The following is a 23,141-nucleotide window of genomic DNA, read 5'->3' as shown; positions in this document are numbered from 1 at the left end:
AGTTCTGTTACTACTTGCTTTATATATGTTTAGGTGTTCCCATGTTGAATGCATCTATCTTTACAGTTCTTATATCCTCAAGATGACATCATCCCTTTATCATTGTACAGTGACTTTCTTTGTCTCTTATGACAGATTTTGATTGAAAGTCTATTTTGTCTGATGGAAGTATAACTTTCCCTGATTTTTTTTGGTTTACATTTGCATGAAATATCTTGCTCTATCCCTTCACTTTTAACATGTGTTCCTAAGGCTAAAAAGAGTCTTTTGTAGGCAGCATATTGTTAGATCTTGGCTTTTTTTTTTTTTTTCACTCTTCTGTATTTGTTACAACTTTAAGCAAAATGTGACTCGGGCACTACATTTCCATCCACAAGACTGGCTCTGAGTTATTTTTTGAAAAGCTTTGTGATAGGCTTAGGTAGGCTTATAACTTTGCTCCTCCAAACAATACTTTTCTTTGGAGAACAAGAACTCTCTGTGGAGATTTCCTTCCATCAAGTTGCTTCAGTTTAACCTATTTCTAGAGGACTAGTTCATACAGAACTGGCAACTACAGGGGATGAAAAGTTCAAAAGTAGATGCTACAAAATGTAACAAATACTTTTCTTCTAAACATCAAGATATAGCTCAGGAACACTTGGATAACAAGATTTGGCCTACTAAGGAATATGGATTGATAGCTAAACACTTTAGACCACAAAGTAAACATCATGTTTCACACATCCTGCAACACACATTACTTCGATCTGTTAAAATAAGCCAATGTGAAACTAAGAAAAAAATTACTAGCTCTGCTTTAGTGCTTAAGGTATCACAGCATCACTTAGAAGTAGAAAGAAATCTTATCTTCCCCTTAAAGTAGTTGTTGTCATGCCATACAGACTTTTTAATGTTAACAAAAAATAAAGAAAAATATCCTTGAAAATATATTTCCCTCAGCTGGAGCTTAGTCTGTTTCTTCCATGCATGATGTGTCGTTGTCTCCTTCAAGGGGTGACATTTCTTCAGCAGTATCATCAGCAGTAGGGTCATTTTCATCAATACCCACACCAAGTTTGATCATCCTGTAGATCCTGTTAGCATGTGTCTGGGGATCTTCCAGACCAAAGCCGGAAGACAAAAGAGCAGTTTTGTAAAGCAAGACGACCAGATCCTGCACAGACTTGTACTTATCTGCCTCTGCCTTTTGCCTTAAGGTCTCAATAATGGAATGGTCAGGGTTTATCTCCAGGTGTTTCTTTGCTGCCATGTAACCCATTGTTGAGTTGTCTCTTAGGACTTGAGCTTTCATGATTCTTTCCATGTTTGCTGTCCAGCCATATATGCTCGTGACAATATAGCATGGAGACTTCACCAATCAGTTTGGCACAACCACCTTTTCAACTTTTTTCTCCAATATGTCTTTCATGATTTTGCAGATGTTCTCAAACTTTGTTTTTTTCTCTTCCTGTTTCTTTTTTTCTTCTTCATCCTCTGGAAGTTCCAAGCCCTCTTTGGTGACTGACACTAAAGTCTTCCCCTCAAATTCCTTCAGTGTTGGACACAGTACTCATCAATTGGCTTGATCATATAGTTCACTTCTAAGCCATGTTTCCGAAGACATTCCACAAATTTAGCTACCTGGTCCTTGGTCTCACCTGTGATGTAATAGATATGTTTCTAGTTTTCCTTCATTCTGGTGCAGTAGTCCTTGAGAGAAACCATCTCATCACCAGAAGCAGATGTGTAGTATCTTAACAGCTCTGAAAACTTCTTCCAATGTTGAGAGTCTTCATATATTTCAAGCTTTACGCTTTTAGAGAACTGCTCATAGAATTTCTTGTAGTTCTCTTTATCTTCTGCCAGTTTGGTAAAGAGTTCTAAGCATTTTTTGACCAAATTTTTCCTGATAACTTCCAAAATTTTGCTTTGTCACAACATCTCATGGGAAATATTTAGACGGAGATCCTCTGAGTCCACCACCTTTCCAATGAAGTTCAGATACGCAGGGATTAGCTCCTCACAGTTATCCGTGATGGAAACTCTGTGTACATACAATTTGATGTTCTTTTTCTCTCTCTTTCCAAACAAGTCAAAAGGAGCATGTTGTGGGACAAATAGAAGGGCTCTGAATTCCAAGTGTCCTTCAACTGAAAAATGCTTCACTGCCAATGATCTTCCCAGTCATTGGTCAAGCTCTTGTAGAATTCTTACTCCTCATTAGTAATATCATCAGGATTTCTGGTCCAGATGGGCTTTGTTTTGTTGAGTTTTTCTTGATCGATGTACTTTTCCTTAATCTTCTTATTCTTTTTGTCACCATCCTTCTTTTCTTCTTCTTCTTCATCAGAACCAACATCTTCAATTTCAGGTTTGTCTTCGGACTCTTTCTCTTCTTTTTCATTTTCTTCTTCTTTATCTTCCTTTTCTTCAGCTTCATCATCTCTGACTTCTTTATCATGTTCCTTCTCCACAAAAAGAGTAATGGGATATCCAATAAACTGAGAATGTTTCTTCAAAAATGTTTTTATTCTTCATTCCTCCAAGTACTCATTTGGTCTTCCTTCAGGTGTAGGATAACCTTTGTTCCACGACCCATAGGTTCACTCGTCTGTCCTCACTGTGAATGATCCCCCTGCTGAGGACTCCCAGGTGTACTGCTCATCATTGTTATGTTTGCTGATCACAGTTACTTTCTTGGCAACCAAATAAGCAGAATAAAAACCAACCCCGAAATGGCCAATCATAGAGATATCTGCATCAGCCTGCAAAGCTTCCATGAATGCTTTGGTCCCAGACTTGGTGACAGTACCGAGGTTATTGATCAAGTCAGTCTTGGTCATTCCAATTCTAGTGTCCACAATAGTGAGGGTTTGATTTTGTTTGTTTGGTACAAGGTTAATATGCAGCCCTTTCCCAGAGTCTAATTTACTGGAATCCATCAACCTTTCATATCAGATTTTGTCCAATGCATCTGATGAATTTGAAATTAGTTCTCTCAGAAAGATCTCTTTCTTCGAGTAGAAAGTATTGATGATCAGTGACATCAACTGGGCAATTTCTGCCTGAAAGGTGAATGTCTCAACCTCCTCCTCCTCCATCGATTTGTCTTGGGTCTCGGTTTCCTCAGGCATCTTGGCTAAGGGACCACAAGGGCTCCACAGCACATCAGTACCAGGATGCTGAAGCACCTCGGCTTTTATTTTTTATTTATTTATTTTTCTTAAAATCCATTCAGCCACTCTGTATCTTTTGACTGGAAAATGTAATTCATTTACATTTAAAGTAATTATTGATAGGTAAAGGATTTACTACCGGCATTTTGATTTTTGCTGACTGCTTTGTAGTTCTTTTATTTCTTTTTTCCAATCTTCCTATCTTTCTTTATAATTTGTTGAATTTTGATAGGTGCACACTTTGATTCATGTCTTTGTTTTTTATGTATCAACTAGAGTTGTTTTTCTACTTGGTTATCATGGGGCTTATATAAAACATCTTATAATTATAACATTCTAATTTAAGCTGCTAACAACTGAAATTGCATACAAAAACTCTACACTTTTACTTCACTCTGCCCACATTTTATGTTATTCATGTCACACTTCACATCTTTCTAGATTGTGTATTCATTGCCAAATTAGAATAGATATAGTTATTTTCAATATTTCTGTGTTTTAAGCTTTTATAATAGAATTTAAAATGATTTACACAGTGCCATTACAGTATTAGATTATTCCAGATTTGACTATTTACTTTTACTAGTGGCTTTTTTAACTATTAACTTCTTAAAAATGTTTCATGTTATCTATTTCTTTATTTTAGAGATGTGATGTCGCTATGTTACACAGGCTGGTCTTACACTCCTGAGGTCAAATGATCCTCCCACCTTGGCTTCCCTAAGTGATGGGATTACAGGCATGAGCCACGGCACCTGGCTTTAACATCTTTTTGTTACAACTTGAAGAACTCTAGTATTTTTTTTTTTTTTTTTTTTTTTTTTTACATTTTACTTTAAGTTCCGGGATACAAGTGCAGAATGTGTAGGTTTGTTACATAAGTATATGTGTGCCATGGTGGTTTGCTGCACCTACCAACCCGTCATCTAAATTTTAAGCCCTGCATGCATTAGCTATTTGTCCTAATGCTCTCCCTCCCTCCCCTTGCCCCCCAACCCCACACGGGCCGTGGTGTGTGTTGTTCCCCTCCCTGTGTCCATGTATCCTCATTGTTCAACTCCTACTTATGAGTGAGAACATGCAATGTTTGGTTTTCCATTCCTGTGTTACCTTTGTCTGAGTATGTCTTTATTTCTGCTTCATTTCTGAGAGAGATTTTTTACGTATAGTATTCTTGGGCAGTTTTTATTTTTTTCTTTCTGCTCTTTGGCTATATCATCCCACACCATCCGGGCATATAAAATTTTTTTTTTTAGGTTTTGTTTTGTTTTTGCCAAGTCTGCTGATATCCTTAAAGGGGTTCCCTTTTAGGTGACAAGTTTCTTTTTACTGCTGCTTTCAAAAGTCTCTTTTTGTGTTTGACTTATAATAAGTTGATTATAATGTGCTTCAGAGTGTTACTGTTGGGGTTGATATTGTTTGGACATTTTGATTTCCATGAAACTGTATTGAGTCTATGTCTCTCCCATGATTTTGGAAGTTTTCAGCCAGTATTTCTTTAAATAAGCTTTATGCCTCTTTATTTGCTTCTTTTTCCTTCTGAGACACCGGTAGTTTATTATTGTTTTTCTAATTTCAATTCATTTTCTATGTGCATTTCCTTGCATTTCTTCAAGATCCTTAAGATGGTTATTTTGAATTCTTTCTCAGGCAATTCCTAGATCTCTATTTCTTTGTGATTTACTACTGAAGCTTTACTAGTTTCTTTTGGTGGTGTCACATTTGCCTAATTCTTCATTATCTGTATAGATTGCATTGATGTCTGCGCATTGATGTCTGAATAAACATCTTTTCTGGCATTTAAACACTGCTTTTGGCAGATAAAAGCTTTCTCCTGTTGAGCCTCTATGCTGGTGAGATTGCCCCCAGGATCCTAGTAAAGTGGGTTTCGAGCTAGATCATGTGGCTGCCTCTTCATCTACAATGGGATCTGTGCTTAATAGACCTGTTACCAGGGCCTCCAGTGGGTATGGATTCTGTCTGGTTCCCCCCGGGTGGACTGAATTACCTCCAGTACATTGGGCAGTAGGGTTGGTGCTAGAATGAGGATCCATTTCAGAGTCCACAGATGGTAGGCCTGTTACTAGGTTTGTGGATGGGTATGGTTTCCTCCAGGTCTTTGGGAGAGCTCCCATTAAGTGACTGGGTAGGTCCCTTTGCAGGCAGTACTTGTCCTGGCCTACAGTTGAGAGGAGATGAATATAAGTCACAGGGCTGCAGTAAAGACAAAGATCTGCAGGCCTGCCTCTGAGGTCAAGGTTTGGTGTATCCCCCATTTGGTCCCTGGTCAGGCAAAACTGCCCTCAGACCACACCTGAGAGGGGATGAATCCAAGTTACAAGGCTGTGTCAGGATCCTCTGTGAGACTGATGGCAGCAGGTCTGCCTCTGAGGGTCATAGACAAGCTCGTCCTTCTCTTGGTTCTTGAATGGACAAGCCTACTCTCAGACCACAGCTATTAATGCCTGGAGTTGAGTTTCAGAGCCATTTCAAGTTCCACACCTGGGACCGAGGTCAACAAGCTTGTTTTCTGAAGCACTAGTATATGTGACTCCTCCTGGGCTCCTTGACTGATGGCAAAATAAGGCTGTATCCAAGTCCACAATAAAACAAGGCCATTGCTAAGTCTAGAGCTGAGACCACTGTTGGCAGGTCTGCCCCCTCAAAATGGCTTTCCTACATCTTGATCTTCACTAGGGTTTCACAATCTCCTATCTAAATCTCAAGGCTCCCACAAAGAGGTATTTTCCCATTGATGGCTGTGAACTTATTGCTGCTGTCAAGGAATGTAAGCAGTGGGCTTTCTGTTTCACCATCTTTCTCTCCTTTTGTCTCTCACTATTTTTAAAATTTTCTTTTTATCATTAGTTTTTAATAATTGAATTCTTATATTCTTATATGTTCTAGCATAATTTTGGTTTTTATTCTGCTTGAAATTTCTGACATTTTTGGGTTTGGGGGTTTATAAGGGATCTCAATTACATGAATATTTGACAGCTTGGCACTTTACCGTAGTCATCAAGCCTCTGTTTTTGTTTTGTTGTTGTTGTCGTTATTTGGGGTTTTTGAAGTTTTGCTATAATTACAGGTTGTTTTGTTGGCTATGTGTTTAAGTTAATTGACCTTTTCTTTGGCAGTGTCTGCAGCTAATCCTGCTTAATGTATTTTTAAAATTCAGATAATATTTTTTATTTCTATTAATTATACTTGATGGCTGTTGGGAATATAAACTCTTCTTTGTGTGAACTCTAGGACTTGTTTAGTCTATTGCTTCCAGTAGTTGTTCATCTTCTACAAGAAGTTTACTCTAACAAATGTACGAATTAGCACTCTTCCAAAGATTTGAGGAGATCCCTTTGCAGCTATTAGACCTCCCTATGTGTGTGCTAATCCCTTCTCTTTAGTTATCTGTCTTGAAATGGCCCCTTTGTCTTCTCTATACTCTAATCTTTATCTAATCTAGTCTCCTTAATACTCTATGTAATCTAGTCTTCTCTATAATCTTTATCTAATCTAATCCTTAATTCAGTAAGACTACTTGATATATTTTGGTGTCCTCTGCTGCCTCTCTCTCTTTTTCTCTCTCTTTCTATATATAAACACATAAATATACATACATGTATATACACATATAGAGCTTGTATTATTCCATCAGTTATGTCTCAGTATTATCCAGTATTATCTTGGTGTTATTATATTTTTAAATATAAGAAGCATATAAATTTCTATTTAAAATACTTTAACATATTTTTTCTCACTCCATCATGGTCACACAATGTCCAGTACTAAAGTCCTATGGAATTACTTATGTTCAACTGGATAATACTGAGACATAAGTGTTGGAATAATTCCAGCTGAAGTTAATCATGGGCTGTTTTTTCTCTTTCACTCTCTTAACTCCCATTTCCATCTTCAGTTTTTCTTTAGAACTAAAATTAGGATTGTCTAGAGTCTGTTACAGGATCCACATTTCTTTGCTTTGTACTCTTCAAATACTTTTTAAGTCATAACATGTGGAAATCATTTATTTCTCTTTTCTCAAGAATAACAGTCTTATTCTGTCTCTTGTCTAATGTCTACAAACTGCTATGTCACATATTTTTCTAACTTTTAGCTTTTTAATGTAGAAAGTTAAGTACAATTTATATTAATCCATCTTGATAGGATTCTCTACCTTACTGATGTTCATTAACTTACTCAATGCCTTTTACATATTTTTGAATATTTTAATTGTAAAATAAGTAGAAAAGGAGGCCACAGAAAAAGAAAAAAAGCATTACTTAAAATGTGTACAAATAGAATTTTCAACAGTTTTTACTTAATAAAAGAAACAAGTACACAGTCACAGATTGTGTTAGAAGAATTTCTAGGTCTCCTGATCTCTGCCTAGTGCAACGGTGTTTCCCTTCAGGATGCTTCTCAGGTGAGCTCATCCTCTTTTTTGTTGGAAAAACACTGTTGAACAAATACTGCAGCTTAGAAGGTGCCACTTCAGAGCACATCCAGAAATCCTAGATTGTTTTTCTTTTTAGCCCTATGGGATTCCCACCTATATACTGACCTTATGCCCAAGAGAATGTATTTCGTATATTGTGTTACTACTGGTTCAGTAGGAATAATAATAAGGTATGCAACAAAAAAGAAAGAAGAAAACTACTCTCTTACCTGAGTGAGGATTTGGGGGAAGTAAGTAGTAGATTCAATATTTTGAAAGCAGAAAAAATGGATCTTTCATTGTTGTAACTTCCATCGTCAAACTCAATATATAGTTGATGAAAGAGTAAATAATTGATAGACTCTTAAAGGCAGCTTTATTTATTTATTAAATTGCTATTAGTCAGTCAATTTCTCTCCTTTATTTTCCAATATCTATACTAAGGCTGCTTTTCCTACCTATAAAAGCTTGACAGGGAGGTCGAGGCGGGCAAATCACAAGGTCAGGAGATCCAGACCTTCCTGCCTAACACGGTGAAATCCCGTCTCTACTAAAAACACAAAAAATTAGCTGGTTGTGGTGGCCAACGCCTGTAGTCCCGGCTACTTGGGAGGCTGAGGCAGGAGAATGGCATGAACCCAGGAGGCAGAGCTTGCAGTGAGCCGAGATCGTGCCACTGCACTCCAGCCGGGGCAACAGAGCAAGACTCTGTCTCAAAAAAAAAAAAAAAAAAAAAAGCTTGGCAAATCAAGGCGTAGTAAGAGTGCCTTCCTCTAGGATTAATTGCTTGGCTTCCTTTGAGTTGCTGCAGCTTTCTGTTAGATCTATTACTGAAGGGTGAGTGTGGGTAGATAGAACCAGTCTGAAAGTATCCAACTTGAAAACAATTTATACACATTCATTCTCTGTGTTTATTCACAGAATGTTAGATTCTTAATCCCTGTTTTTCAAGACACGAAAAAAAAAAGCAGAGAAATATCATTCTCTGTATCTTTTCCTATTCATTTTTTTATCATAGTGTATTTTTGTTAAAATGAAGAGAAAAGCAAATCTTGACCAACAAAACATGTAATATAAGCATGAAGAATAGTTGTAACGGCATAACTGTTTTAGAATATCACTGCCACAAAGGAAGGTTATAAGAGATACGTGGTGGGAGACATGAGAGACTTGACAGAAAATAATGCCATGGCATTTTTCTCTGTGGCAATAGAAGAAACTTTTCCAGGTACTTCGGGTAATTTCTTACTTTCACTTCATAAGACCATGTCCCATCCACCCACAGATCCTGCTTCTACCATCCTGATTGTTACAAAGTTGCCTAGGTAATCTGGCAATCCAGGTAATTCTTATGGCATCATGAATTAATCTGTTCTGATTCACCCATGAGATTTATATTATTTCCAAGAATATGGTTTTTGTTGTTGTTGTTGTTGTTGTTGTTTTCAGACCGACTCTCACTCTGTCGCCCAAGCTGGAGTGCAATGGCGCGATTTTGGCTCACTACAACCTCCGCCTCCCAGGTTCAAGCGATTCTCCTGCCTTAGTCTCTTGAGTATTGGGGACTACAGGCGCATGCCTCCACTCCTGGCTAATTTTTTGTATTTTTAGTAGAGACGGGGTCTCACTGTGTTAGCCAGGATGGTCTCGATCTCCTGACCTCGTGATCCGCCCGCCTCAGCCTCCCAAAGTGCTGGGATTACAGGTGTGAGCCACTGTGCCCGGCCCAAGAATATGTTTTTTAAAAGAGTTACCTATTACATTTACATTTATTTACTTTTTAGAACTTGTAAATGTTAAAGAAGAACATATTTTCAGTGCCTCCCATTATGTGATGGAGAGGAAATCAAGCATGAGGGTGTCCAAAATGGAGCTTGTGGAGACTGAGTGATAAGTGATTTCATTTTATTGAGTATCTAAGACAAAGGTATGAACATCTGACCATATAGCCATGAATCACATTCACCTCTTGCCAGGCATCAGTATTCAACCATAGTTCTCTTTGCCATTGAGCACTGGAATCCACACAACCACTATTAATTGTGTTTTCATACAATACAAATACTGTTTACTATTCAAGTCTAGAAGAGATACAAAGAAACAATAAGAGAGCCAGCCAGCAGATTGCATATTATAAATGGGATGTGAAAAGACCTTTGTATTCTGAAACTATATGCTAAAATCAAAAACAGTAATTTAAAAGAACAAATTCCAAATATAATATTGTTTTAAAGAATAAAATTAAACTAAACTAAGCATAATAGGTTTCATAATCATAGGGTTGTAGAAATATAACATTAAACTCATTAGTCTAAGCAACTTAAGGGTCAGAGGGGAGCACATATGTGGTAGAACTGATAGAGAAGTAGTGAACTTTAAGTTGTATTGGCTTAAAATTGACTTCCAGAATAAGGAAAGTGATTATCTTAACTCACCTGCAGTGTTACCTCATTTCCTGGTAAGTCATTTTAAGAACACTATTAACAAAATGGAAAGTATCTAAAGAATCTAGAGAAAGATAACCAAGATTTTGAGGAGCCTGTGAACTCAGATATATCATGCAGTTCAAAAGCATCTTCAGGTAGGTTAAGTGTTTAATGGAGGCATACATTATGCTTCTTCAAATATTTGAATTGTTGCTGTGTAGGTTAAATATTATATACAAGTTATACATCTCTAGAGACAATAGGAGCAAAAGGAGGATGATACATAAAAGTGGAACTTTGTAACACTTAGAAATATTTAACAGTGATATAACTCCCTATTGAGCAGTTAATTGAGGCTAGAATGCTGCAGGTGAGAATCCTACAATGACTGAGAAGTGGACATGATAGCCCTAGGTTCTCTCCGACACTGGTAGCTCATAATTATATAAGAAAATTCCATTACATTGGTTCCATTTTCTTTATAATCTCATTGTAAGGTGCCTTACTAAGATTGTTCTAGACGATAGAGAAGTTGTAATAGTTGAACCTTCTATACTAAATTACCACCCATGATGTTTTACTTATCTGTCACCAAAGAAACTAAAACGATCCTTTAAATATACTGAGAAATCAAAATACTTACTTGTTCAAGTTTGAAAAGTCTTTGAGGCTTGGATCTGATTTTTGATAAACCCAAGTTTCAGATGGCACCCCAAAAAGTTCATTAAAATAATATCATGGGAAGCATGTACTATGAGGCTAGTAAAGTGCTATGTGAATGAAAAACAAGAGTATTATTAACATTATAATTATCACTATGTCCTCTGAAATAATGTTTCTGTAGATGTGAAATAATCTTATTATAGCTTTAGGAGGAAATCCTCCTTGGCAAATCACTTTCCAAATGGCCATCTGAACGTTCTTATTCTTGAAGCTATATACCATGGATTCAACAACGGAGTCACAACTGTGTAAGGTCACTGTCACCAGCCTGTTCTTGCTAGATGGTTATTTGCTGGATGATTATTTGGCTGATGGTCACAGGTTGACAAAGGAGGCACAGCCATAATGGACAACGACCATAATAAGATGGGAGGCACAAGTAGAGATGGCTTTTTGCTTGCTTTCACATATGGGATCCTCAGGATGGTGTGAACAATGAAGCCATAGGAGATGCAAATAAAATCAGAGGAACCGTAAGTGCTAGAATTCCACCAATGAAGATGACTAGCTCCCTGATGTAGGTATCAGTACAGGCAAGCTGAATAAGCAGTGAGATGTCACAGAAGTAGTGGTTGATCTTGTTTGGGCCACAGAAAAGCAGCTGAAAATCTAAGAAGGAGCCTATCAGTGAAAACAAACAAACAAAAAAAAACAATCACAGCACACGTTGCTGCCAGTTGTTTACATATCTGCCAGCTCGTAAGGACAGGGTAGTGAAGTGGATGGCAGATGGCAACATAGGAATCATAAACTGTCATGCCCAGGAACATGAAATTAGTGACAGCAAAACCCAGAAAGAAGAACACTGGAGTGGCAGTTAATAAATGAGATTGTTCTGAGCAAAGACAACAGATCTATGAGCATCTTGGGCAGAATGACAAAGGTATAGCATGTCCCAGAAATGGAGAGGATCCCTAGGAATAAGTATACAGGTATGTGGAGGCTTTGATCCAGGCGGATGACAGTGACAGTGGTGATATTTCCACTCAGAACAATCAGATATAGCCACAAGCAGACAGAAAAAGGATCTGCTGGATTTCTTCAAGGCTGGAGAACTCAAGAAGCAGGAACTCTGACAGAGAAGTTAGCTTGATTGACTTGGTCCCAGAGATTGACCTACAGAGAACAAAAATGAAAGAAGATAGTTTGCCCTAAAAGATGCAGGAGTTACTTACACTATGGATTGAGAAACAATAAATCAGAAAAGGGGGTAGAACCTGTAGTAGTAAATGCCCTAGTGATCATATCTATTCATTGTATTGTTTCAAAATACTCAGATTACGTTTGTTTCCAGTGACATGTTTACATCTCTTATAACGTTTAAGTCTAGGTGATCTTTTCACATTGCCTACTTTAAATAGCAAACAGGAAATTAACATGTGAATTTAACTACTTTATTAAACACACGTTTAATAAATACTTATTGTCTATATTACACAATTTCGTTAGGCTGTATAAGCAAAGTATAATTCTTAGCAGGAATGATGCTAAAGCATCTCTTACTTTCTTCACCAAGTGTTCTCTCCTCTCCCCAACCACTGTCCTTAAATTCTCCAATAAAAAAATGAAGTTTTTTTCATGTTAAGACTATGTTTTCTCATCTTGCAACACCTCACCTCTGTGATTTCCTCATCTCTTTCCCTCTATCTGGAAGATCTTTATCCACTTTGCATTCATTTTTGATGACCCAAATAGAACTATAACCCCTGGCAACTCTGGTCTCTGAATTTAAGGGTGATATAAAATTTCCTTTCTTTTAAATTATTTAGCAACTTTCTATTCTATACTAGAGTGAATCACAGAAGATAGATATGAACTCTAAGTTCACAATGTGCATATCTAAGTTCATAAAATTAGTTGTATAAATTTAATTTTTTTCTTTAGTGCCCAGCACAGTGCTATTCACAGAAATTATTAATATACAATGATTGAATAGTCAATTGCATGATCTTGAAATGCGCTTTTTCTTTTTTTTCTTTTTTAAATTTTTTTATTATTATTATACTTTAAGTTTTAGGGTACATGTGCACAACGTGCAGGTTTGTTACATATGTATACATGTGCCATGTTGGTGTACTGCACCCATTAACTTGTCATTTAGCATTAGGTATATCTCCTAATGCTATCCCTCCCACCTCCCGCCACCCCACAACAGTCTCCATTGTGTGATGTTCCCCTTCCTGTGTCCATGTGTTCTCATTGTTCAATTCCCACCTATGAGTGAGAACATGCGGTGTTTGGTTTATTCTCCTTGCGATAGTTTCCTGCGAATGATGGTTTCCAGCTTCATCCATGTCCCTGCAAAGGACATGAACTCATCATTTTTTATGTCTGCATAGTATTCCATGGTGTATATGTGCCACATTTTCTTAATCCAGTCTATCATTGTTGGACATTTGGGTTGGTTCCAAGTCTTTGCTATTGTGAATAGTGCTGCTATAAACATACGTGGGCATGTGTCTTTACAGCAGCATGATTTATAATCCTCTGGGTATATACCCAGTAATGGGATGGCTAGGTCAAATGGTATTTCCAGTTATAGATCCCTGAGGAATCGCCACACTGACTTCCACAATGGTTGAACTAGTTTACAGTTCCACCAACAGTGTGAAAGTGTTCCTATTTCTCCACATCCTCTCCAGCACCTGTTGTTTCCTGACTTTTTAATGATCGCCATTCTAACTGGTGTGAGATGGTATCTCATTGTGGTTTTGATTTGCATTTCTCTGATGGCCAGTGATGATGAGCATTTTTTCATGTGTTTTTTGGCTGCATAAATGTCTTCTTTTGAGAAGTGTCTGTTCATATCTTTGGCCCACTTTTTGATGGGGTTGTTTGGTTTCTTCTTGTAAATTTGTTGGAGTTCATTGTAGATTCTGGATATTAGCCCTTTGTCAGATGAGTAGGTTGCAAAAATTTTCTCCCATTCTGTAGGTTGCCTGTTCACTCTGATGGTGGTTTCTTTTGCTGTGCAGACGCTCTTTAGTTTAATTAGATCCCATTTGTCAATTTTGGCTTTTGTTGCCATTGTTTTTGGTGTTTTAGACATGAAGTCCTTGCCCATGCCTATGTCCTGAATGGTATTGCCTAGGTTTTCTTCTAGGGTTTTTATGGTTTTAGGACTAACATGTAAGTCTTTAATCCATCTTGAATTAATTTTTGTATAAGGTGTAAGGAAGGGATCCAGTTTCAGCTTTCTACATATGGCTAGCCAGTTTTCCCAGCACCATTTATTAAATAGGGAATCCTTTCCCCATTTCTTGTTTTTGTCAGGTTTGTCAAAGATCAGATGGTTGTAGATATGTGGCATTATTTCTGAGGGCTCTGTTTTGTTCCATTGGTCTATATCTCTGTTAAATGCACTTTTTCATATATCAGAGCATAAAGGCCTTGGAGTAATTTTGTATTCCCCATAATATCTACAAACAAATTGCTATCTAAAAGCTACTTGTTCAATTAGTTGATTATTAAATATTTTATTATATAAAGGGCATCTGTAAAAGGCATTATTTAAGCTCATTAAGGGTGTGATGGAATTTTAAGCCTCAAAAGGAAATTGATGGGAATAAAGATCCAGTTTGCAACCTACTAGATCACATTGCATATTTATGATTGTACTACCCACAATTTGATCTTTCACACGACCAAGAAGTTGTGGAATATGAACTGGATCTAGCTCTCATGAATTTCCCTACTGTGGCATTTATTTTTATTTTTACTTTTTTATCTCTCAGTCTGGCTCTTCACAATACTTTATTTATTAACTGGTGACTAACGAAAAAAATAGTACCAGTATCTTCCCTGAGGAGTGCAATTTATTTACCTCCCCAGTTGCTATCTCTGAGGCTTATGCAGTAGATTTTTTGTCCACAGAATGTTAGGATGGTGAGATTCAAAAACAGCAGAAGGTCTGTAAAGAATGGCAAGTTAATTAGACACTCATTTTTTTACCTCCTCATTGCTTGGACATTTCTAATATACCTTTGTCACCAGATAATACTCTCATGTGACATTTGAGAATGAAAAGTGAGTGAACTGTTGAAAGCTCATTCTTGACGGAAAGTTATGGGTATCTATTTTTTTCCTTTTCAGTTACCCAGAGAAGCCTTGCTTAAGGAATCAGTCTTTCTGAGATGGCTCATAGGGAAGTAATCAGTGCTATGGGCTCAATATAACATATTTCATGGCATTTGCTTGAAGCAATAGCTTATTGTAGCTCATTTGGTGAGGCTCTATTTTATCTCTCCCAAGCCCTATACTATCTTCCATTTTTTCAAGCTATCATATATTATCTCACTATCACTGAGTAACTAGATAAACAAACTAAAACTCACGGGAGAATAAGAGCATTTCTAAAATGAGCATGGTGACTGGTACTTTTCTGTTAGTAAATTCACATACTATCTTCATTCACTTTCCCACATAAAATAATCCAAACAGGGTTATTTTCTGATGTTCCCTAGAACTTAGCTATTGTAATCCAGTGAAATCTTCTAATGAGATGAGACTCAAAACTTAATGTTATCACAACCATTTCTATATTGAAATAACACTATTCTATTCCTTTCTACTATTGACCTCTCAAGGCCCCAAACTCTGTTTACCTACCTGCTCTTCTGATAATTCTGAGAAGCATCGCCCAAAGCATCATTGGAAAACTTTTCATTAGTCTCTTATTAGCTAGGGCCCCAAAATGTTGCTTGGTACTTATACTTTCCAAAACTCCAGGGAGTCATTATTGCAATATTATTTTTGGCACAGTTCCGTACTTCTCTCACTTAGCAAAGAGGATGCAGAGAACACCACAGATCCAAAATCTCACAGGTCTAATAGAAACAAATAATAAAATAAAAAAACAGAAGGTGGGGCACAGCGGCTCATGCGTGTAATCCCAGCACTCTGGGAGGCCGAGGCAGGTGGATCGTCTGAGGTAAGGAGTTTGAGACCAACCTGGCCAACATGGCGAAACCCGATCTCTGCTAAAAACACAAAAATTACCCGGGCATGGTGGCAGGTGCCTGTAATCCTAGTTACTCAGGAGGCTGAGGCAGGAGAATCACTCGAACTCAGGAGACGGAGGTTGCAGTGAGCCAAAATTGTGCCTCTGCACTCCAGCCTGTGTAATAAAATGAGACTCTGTCTCAAAAAAAGAAAAATGGAAAAAAATGGCATTGATAATTAGTTGATCATCTCTTCCAAGTTCCCTGGTGTCTCTTAGAGGCTGAAAGCTATTGTAAATTAAGGAAGTACAAGTATATATGGAAAAACCACATTATAGGAGATAATTTAGGCCTGTCTTTTACAAGGCCTTTTTTAGTGAAGGAGAAGCTCTTTTTTCCCTTAGACTTCATCAGGACAAAGTCTTGCTTTATCATTGTCAAAAAAGAAGCAAAGTTCTCTCTTTTAGTCTGTGTTCATCTGAAGCCTAACAATTGAGTTGCTGCACCAAGGAGAGGAGCATAGGAGCACAGCATGAGGGACGGGGAAAAGAGCAATGTTTTGATGACAGAGCTGAAACCTTGAAGAACAGCAGGAAAGAATATATATTTAGAGACTGAAGACAAATTCTGGAGTGCTTAAGTGCAGGTCACAGAAGTGATACTCTGCTTTTTTCCAGCTTTCTGGAGGTGAAAATAACTTCAATCAAGGGTCCGCCTCAACGTTTGTGAATGGGAGTAAAGTGCTTTGTGGGTAACCTCCTAGAGGGCTTGGGTAGTCCTCCATTATTCTCATTCTTTCCTGCAACTCTCTAATAGTCTGACTCAAGATAGATGAGAGGGACTTGGGGTTGGAGAGAAAACAATTAAGTACCTGTCTACATTTGTGTGCCACTGTTGTGAGACCCTGAATTTGAAATTAGGTTAAAAGTTGAACTTTTTATTTCTGGACTCGGTAACACAGTATCTAGATTTTCAAGTTTCCTGGAAATTGTTATTCTTCCTCCTCTGTGAGATAACAGAGGAAAAATCTGCCCTCTCTATTCTCCCTCAGCTTGTTATGAGTGACTCGCAAGAGGATGGCAGAGAGAATTGAAGGCACTTAGCATCGAGGTCTTCCCCAGCCTGAGTCTATTTGTTGCAGTTTCTGTCAGTGGCTCCCAGCAGACGTTCCTGGCATTGTTCCCAGAAGGTGCTATCAGAGCAGTAGAAACTCCCAAATGAGAGGATTCCTGTCTCAGAGTCTTTTTCTTTCCAATTATACTAACCATTGTCACAGGTTACCCACAGAGATCCCATGGCAGCTACTGCTGCTTCCAGCAATTTTCAAATGTTCACAAAGTTTTTTTTTTCCATTTGCAGCTGAGTTTTGGGGTTTTTTTTGGACTTCTGGTCTGCTTAGTGCATCTTCCTAAATAAACATTTCTCCACAGGATGCTGGCCAAGTCCCCAGACTTGGTACTGCATAACTCTAGAAAGAAAACTGTCCAAAAACCTCTAAAGTATTAGAACAGAAATAGACCTGGAAAAAATACTATAGTTAGTCACACTTACAGAAATACTTCTTGACACAATTTGTGGTGAACTCAGGCAGGACCCCAAACCAGTAGCTGCCTCTGCTCACATTCTCATGTACCTGAGGATAGTTTTCCAGGAAATTAAAGATAGTCATTCCTTTTTGAAACTGGAGTTTAAACCCAGGTTTCCAGCAAACTTAGTATGATACATATTTCATCTCAAATATACCAACACAGTTCAAATATGCAAACAAAGAATATCTTTTATTTCTATATTCAGAGAAAGGGACTTGAATTACTTCATTATGCTCAGTCTTCATTGAGAGGTCAACCTCTGAAAAACATCCCCATTATAATTTACTTTTTATTCTTAACATATGTTAGAATTTCTGTGTAATTATGATTACATGTTTCCTTTACATATTTCTGGTTTTGTGGGGTGATTTTTTAATGTTTTGCTGAATGTTTAGCCCCATCATTTAGGATATTGCCTGATACATAGTAAAAAGGTAACATATATATTTGTTGAATGAATAACTAGTTTTTCTTTCTCTGTTTTACTTGATTAAGTTTCACTGTATGTGCTGTATTTCTTTTTCATTGGCCTGGCTTTATCCAAATTACAGAAAAAAAAATGAAGGTAAAAGCCTTAAATATATGTTCTTAGCAATTCAAAAAGCTGAAACATTCTCAGTCTTATGTCTCCTATATATGGGATGTAATCATGTCTTTTGCAGGGACATGGATGAAGCTGGAGCTATTATCCTTAGCAAACTAACACAGGAGCAGAAAACCAAATACCGTGTGTTCTCACTTACAAGTGACAGCTAAATGATAAGACCACATGGACACATAGAGAGGAACAGCACACACGGGGGTCTATTGGAGGGTGGAGGGTGAGATAAGGGAGAGGATCAGGAAAAATAACTGTTTCAATATTTTTCAGTTAAAAGTTAAAATATTTTAAGTTAAAAGTTAAGTTCAAGTATTTTTAACTTAAAATATTTTCAACTTATAACAGATTTATCTGGATATAACCCCATCATATGTCAAGGAGTATACTAAATATGTGTCACTTTTGCACCATCATAAAGCCAAAAAATCCTAAATTGAAACATTGTACTTAGGGAATCATCTGTATATAGACAGATACAGAATACTGCAATACTGTAATGGTGATGTAGCAATATCACTTTTAATTCTAACAAAAAGTTTAAAAGATTAAACTATTAAGAATAACTGAAACTACATAATTTGTCAAGGTATCCACAACACTACATAAAAAGATGTAAATTGTAATTTCAGTAACATGTATAAGGCGGAAGAGTAAAAGTTTAGAGTTTTGTACGCAATTGAAGTTAAATTGTTATCAGCTTGAAATTAACACCCATAACTTTGAAAAGTCATATATAAGTTTTATGGTAGCCACAAAGAAAATACTATACAATATGCACAAAAGAAAAGTAAAAAAAAAATCAAAGCATATCACTACAAAAAAATTAACAAATCATAAAGGAAAAGAGCAAAAGAGAAAAAGAGGAACAAAAGGACAATAAGACAGTCAGAAAATGGATAACAAGATGGCAACAATAAATCTTTATCAATAATTACATTAAACTTAAATGGATTAAACACCTCAATTAAAAGGCATAGGCTAAATTGATTTAAAAAACAACTTTATGCTATCTACAAAAGACTCACTTTGGATTTAAGAACCCACGTGAACTGAAAGTACAAGGATGGAAAAAGACAATTAAGTAAATGTTAACCAAAAGACAGAAGGGGTGGCTATACTTATATTAAATGAAAAAAACTTTAAGCAAAGAACTATCATAAGAGAAAGAGAGGCTATTTATATAATGACAAAAGTGTCGAGTCATGGGAACAAGATAGTTGATTAGAACCATCCAGCAATTGTCCCCTCATAGGAACACCAAATTGAACAATAATCCATGCAAGAAAGCACCTTCATAAGAACCAAACAATCAGGTGAGCAACTACAGTACCTGTTGTTAACAACATCAAGGAAAGAGGCATTGAAGAGGTTAGGAAAGATAATCTTCCTTTGCCTACATCACCTCTGCCCCAATCCCTGGCAGCACCACATGGAAAAGAATCTGTGTGCTTGGGGAAGGGGTAGTGAAGTGAAAGTGATTAGGAGACTATGCATTGAAACTCAATGCTACTCTGTCACAGCAGTGCTCAACACAGGAGAGAATTCTGCCAGCACCCATGGAGGAAGCAATTAGATCAGCCCTGGCAGGAGGGAACTAAGTTCTGGCTGGTTCTACCACCAGCTCACTAATGTGGTCTGGGACCCAAAATAGATTTCGGAGGTAGTTAGGCCCTAAGGACTGCAGTCTCTGGGAAAGCCCTAGTGCTGTATTGTGCTTGGAGGCAATGCAATTGGGGCACACAAGACACAGTAAGACATAATTGTGGTGGCCAAGGGAGTGCTTGCACAGCTCGGGGAGAGACCCTTTCTGCTTGGGGAAAGGAGAGGGAAGAGTACAAAAAACTTTGTCCTGTACATTGGGTACCAGTTTAGCTGCAATAAAACAAAGCATCAAGCAAATTCCTAAAGACCCCATCCGGGCCTTAGCTCCTAGATAGCATTTCTAGACCCACCTTGGACCAGAAGGGAACCTGCTACCCTGAAGGGAAGGACCTAGTCCTCATGGATTTATCATCTGCTGACTAAAGGGTCCTTGGGCTTTGAATAAATAACATCAGTAGATAGGCAGTAGTTTCCACAGGCCATGGGCAAGACTTAGTACTCTCCTAGCTTCAAGTATCACCCAGCAGAATGCCAGTTGTGTAGCCACAGGAGTGCTTGCATCAACCCTCCCCCAACTCCAGGCAACCCAGTGCAGAGAGACACTCTTTTTGATGAAGGGAAAATGAAGGAAGAGAGTGAGAGCCTTTGCCTGGTAATCCAAATAATTCTCCTTGATTCTACCCAAGCCCACTAAGGCAGTGACTCCAGGAGTCCAAAAGAGTCACAGCATTACTGGACTGGGGTGCCCCCTAGTGCTGATATTGCTGTGGTGACAGTAGGCTTACAACCCAACCCTCAATTCCCTTTGAATACAAGGAAAACCTTTTCAAGAAGGTCGGGTGCAAACAAGCCCCAACTGGTGATATTGAAACAAATACCTAACTCCTCTATGCCCAGGCATTGCTGGACATTCACAGGCTTCAAGAACATCCAAGAAAACATGACCCCTCCAAACAAACTAAATAAGTCTCCAGTGATCAATCCCAGAGTAATGGAGATATGTGATCTTTCAGACAGAGAATTCAAAATTGCTGTCTTGAGGAAGCTCAATGAACCTCAACATAACATAGAGAGGGAATTCAGAATTCTATCATAGCAACTTAATGAAGAAATTGAAATAATAAAAATCAAAAATTTTGGAGCTAAAAAATTCAATCGAGAAGGTGAAAATGCATGAGTCTTTCTACAGAAAAATTGATAAATTAAAAGAATTAGTGAGCTTGAAGTCAGGATATATAAACATACAAAGTCGGGGAGAAAGGAGAAAAAAAATAAAGCACATCTACAAGAGTGAGAAAATAGTCTCAAAAGGGCAAATCTAAGAATTATTGGCCTTAAAAAGGAGGTAGAGAGATTGGAGTAGAAAGTTTATTCAAAGAAATAATAACAGAGAACTTTTCAAATCTAGAGAAAGATATCAATATCCAGATACAGAGTCATAGAACACTAAGAAGACTCACTCAAATAAAACTATCTCAAGCCATTTATTAATCAAAACTGAATGATCAAGGATAAAGAGCAAATCCTAAAAGCACTAAGAGAAAAGAAACAAATAACATATAAAGGAGCTTGAACATGTCTGGCAGAAAACCTCTCAGTGAAAGCCTTACAGGCCAAGAGATAGTGAGATGATATATTTAAGGGGCTAAAGAAAAAGACTATTATCCTAGAGTATTATATCCCGCAAAAATATCCTTCAAACATGAAGGAGAAATAAAGACTTTCCCAGACAGACAAAAGCTGAGAGATTTCATCACTACCAGATTGATCCTACAAAAAAAAATGCTAAAGAGAGTTGTTCAATCTGAAAAAAGGACATTAATGAACCACAAAAAGTCACCTGAAGGTCTAAAATTCACTAGTAATAGTAAATAAACAAGCAAATACAGAATACTCTAGCACTGTAACTGTGGTGTGTAAACCACTCATATCTTGAATAGGGAGAATAAAATACAAACATCAAAAATAATGACTACAACAAGTTTTTAAGAGATAGATAATAGAAAAAGTTATAAATAGAAACAACAAAAACTCAAAAAGCAGGGGGAATAATGTCAAAGTGTAGTTTTTTTGTTTTCTCTTTATTTGTTTTTCTTTTTTAATAGCCAGTTAAGTAGACATCAATTTAAAATATTTGGTTATAAGATGTCATTTACCAGCTCATAGTAACAGCAAATCAAAAATCTACAAGAAATACACAAAAAATAAAAAGTAAGAAATTAATACTTACTATCAGAAGATTACTTTTACACAACAGAAGAAAGGAAGGAAGAAAAGGGTCAATTCATAAGAAGATATACTAATTATAAATCTATATATAAGTGTGTGTGCATCCAGCATCTAAGCACAGAAACATATAAAACAAATATTGACAGATCTGAAGAAAGAAATACACAGTGATAGCAATAAGGATAGGACATTCAGACAGGATATCAATAAAGAAACAGTGGACATGAACAATGTAATAGATCAAATGATCCTAATAGACATATGCAGAATATTGCAGCCAACAGCAGCAGAATACACATTCTTCTCAAAAATACACGAACATTCCTCAGGAAAGATCATATGCTAAGTCTCAACAAATAAAAGAAGATTGAAATCATATGAATATAGTTTGGATCTGTCTCCCTGCCCAAATTTCATGTAAAATTGTAATTCGCAGTATTGAAGGTGAAAACTGATGGGAGGTAATTGGACCATGGGCATGGATTTCTCATAAATGGTTTACCAGCATCCCCTTTGTGCTGTTCTTGTGATAGTGAGTGAGTGAGTTCTCATAAAATCTGGTTGTCTAAAAGTGTATATCACCTCTGTCCTCACTCTGTCTCTTGCTCCTGCTATGGCTGCGTGATATGCCTACTCACCCTTCACCTTCCACCATAATTTTAAGTTTTCTGAGGTCTTCTCAGAAGCCAAACAGATGCCAGCATCATGCTTCCTGTAAAGCCTGCAGAACCATGAGCCAATTAAACCTCTTGTCTTTATAAATTACTCAGTCTCAGGTATTTCTTTGTAGCAATGTGCAAATGGACTGATACACATAAAAATATCTTTTCAACCACAATAGAATGAAGCTTGGAACCAACAGTAGGAAAAAATGAAAAATTTACAAATATGTGGAAATTAAACAACATACTCTTGAACAACCATTGAGTCATAGCAGAAATCAAAGGGAAATTAGAAAGTATCTCAGGGCAAATAAAAAATCTTATGGAATGCAGCAAAAAGAGCAGTAAGAGAGAAGTTTATAGCAAGAAACACCATCATTAAAAAAGAATGATCTCAAATAAACCATCTAACTTTATACCTAAAATAATTATAAAGATTAAAGCAGAAATAAATGAAATAGGGAATATTAAAACAATTGAAAAAAATGTAAAACCAAGAGTTAGTTTTTTGAAAAGATAAAAAAATGATAAAAAGTTATCTAGGCTAAAAAAAAAGTCTCAAATAAATTAAATCAGAAACTAATGAGAAGCCATTAGCATTGATGCCACAGAAATGAAAACCATCTGTCTTAATCAGTTCCAGCTGCTATAACAAATTACCATAGACTGGGTGGCTTAAACAACAAACATTTATTTCTCACAGTTCTGCAGGGAGGGAAGTCCAAGCTGAACTACTCACAGATTCAGCATCTAATAAGGGGGATTGCTTCAGGATT

The 23,141-nt window shown here is 37.1% G+C and overlaps 2 pseudogenes; both read right to left on the bottom strand.

Annotated features, from left to right (window-relative positions):
• HSP90AA3P (heat shock protein 90 alpha family class A member 3, pseudogene) lies at positions 308 to 3,175 on the bottom strand (annotated as a pseudogene).
• On the bottom strand, positions 10,863 to 12,003 carry OR10R1P (olfactory receptor family 10 subfamily R member 1 pseudogene; annotated as a pseudogene).

The sequence above is a fragment of the Homo sapiens genome, chromosome 1 (assembly GCF_000001405.40).
Source record: "Homo sapiens chromosome 1, GRCh38.p14 Primary Assembly".
Classification (NCBI taxonomy): Eukaryota; Metazoa; Chordata; class Mammalia; order Primates; family Hominidae; genus Homo; species Homo sapiens.
Note: the sequence above shows the minus strand (reverse complement) of the source record. Positions and strands in the feature narration are given on the sequence as shown.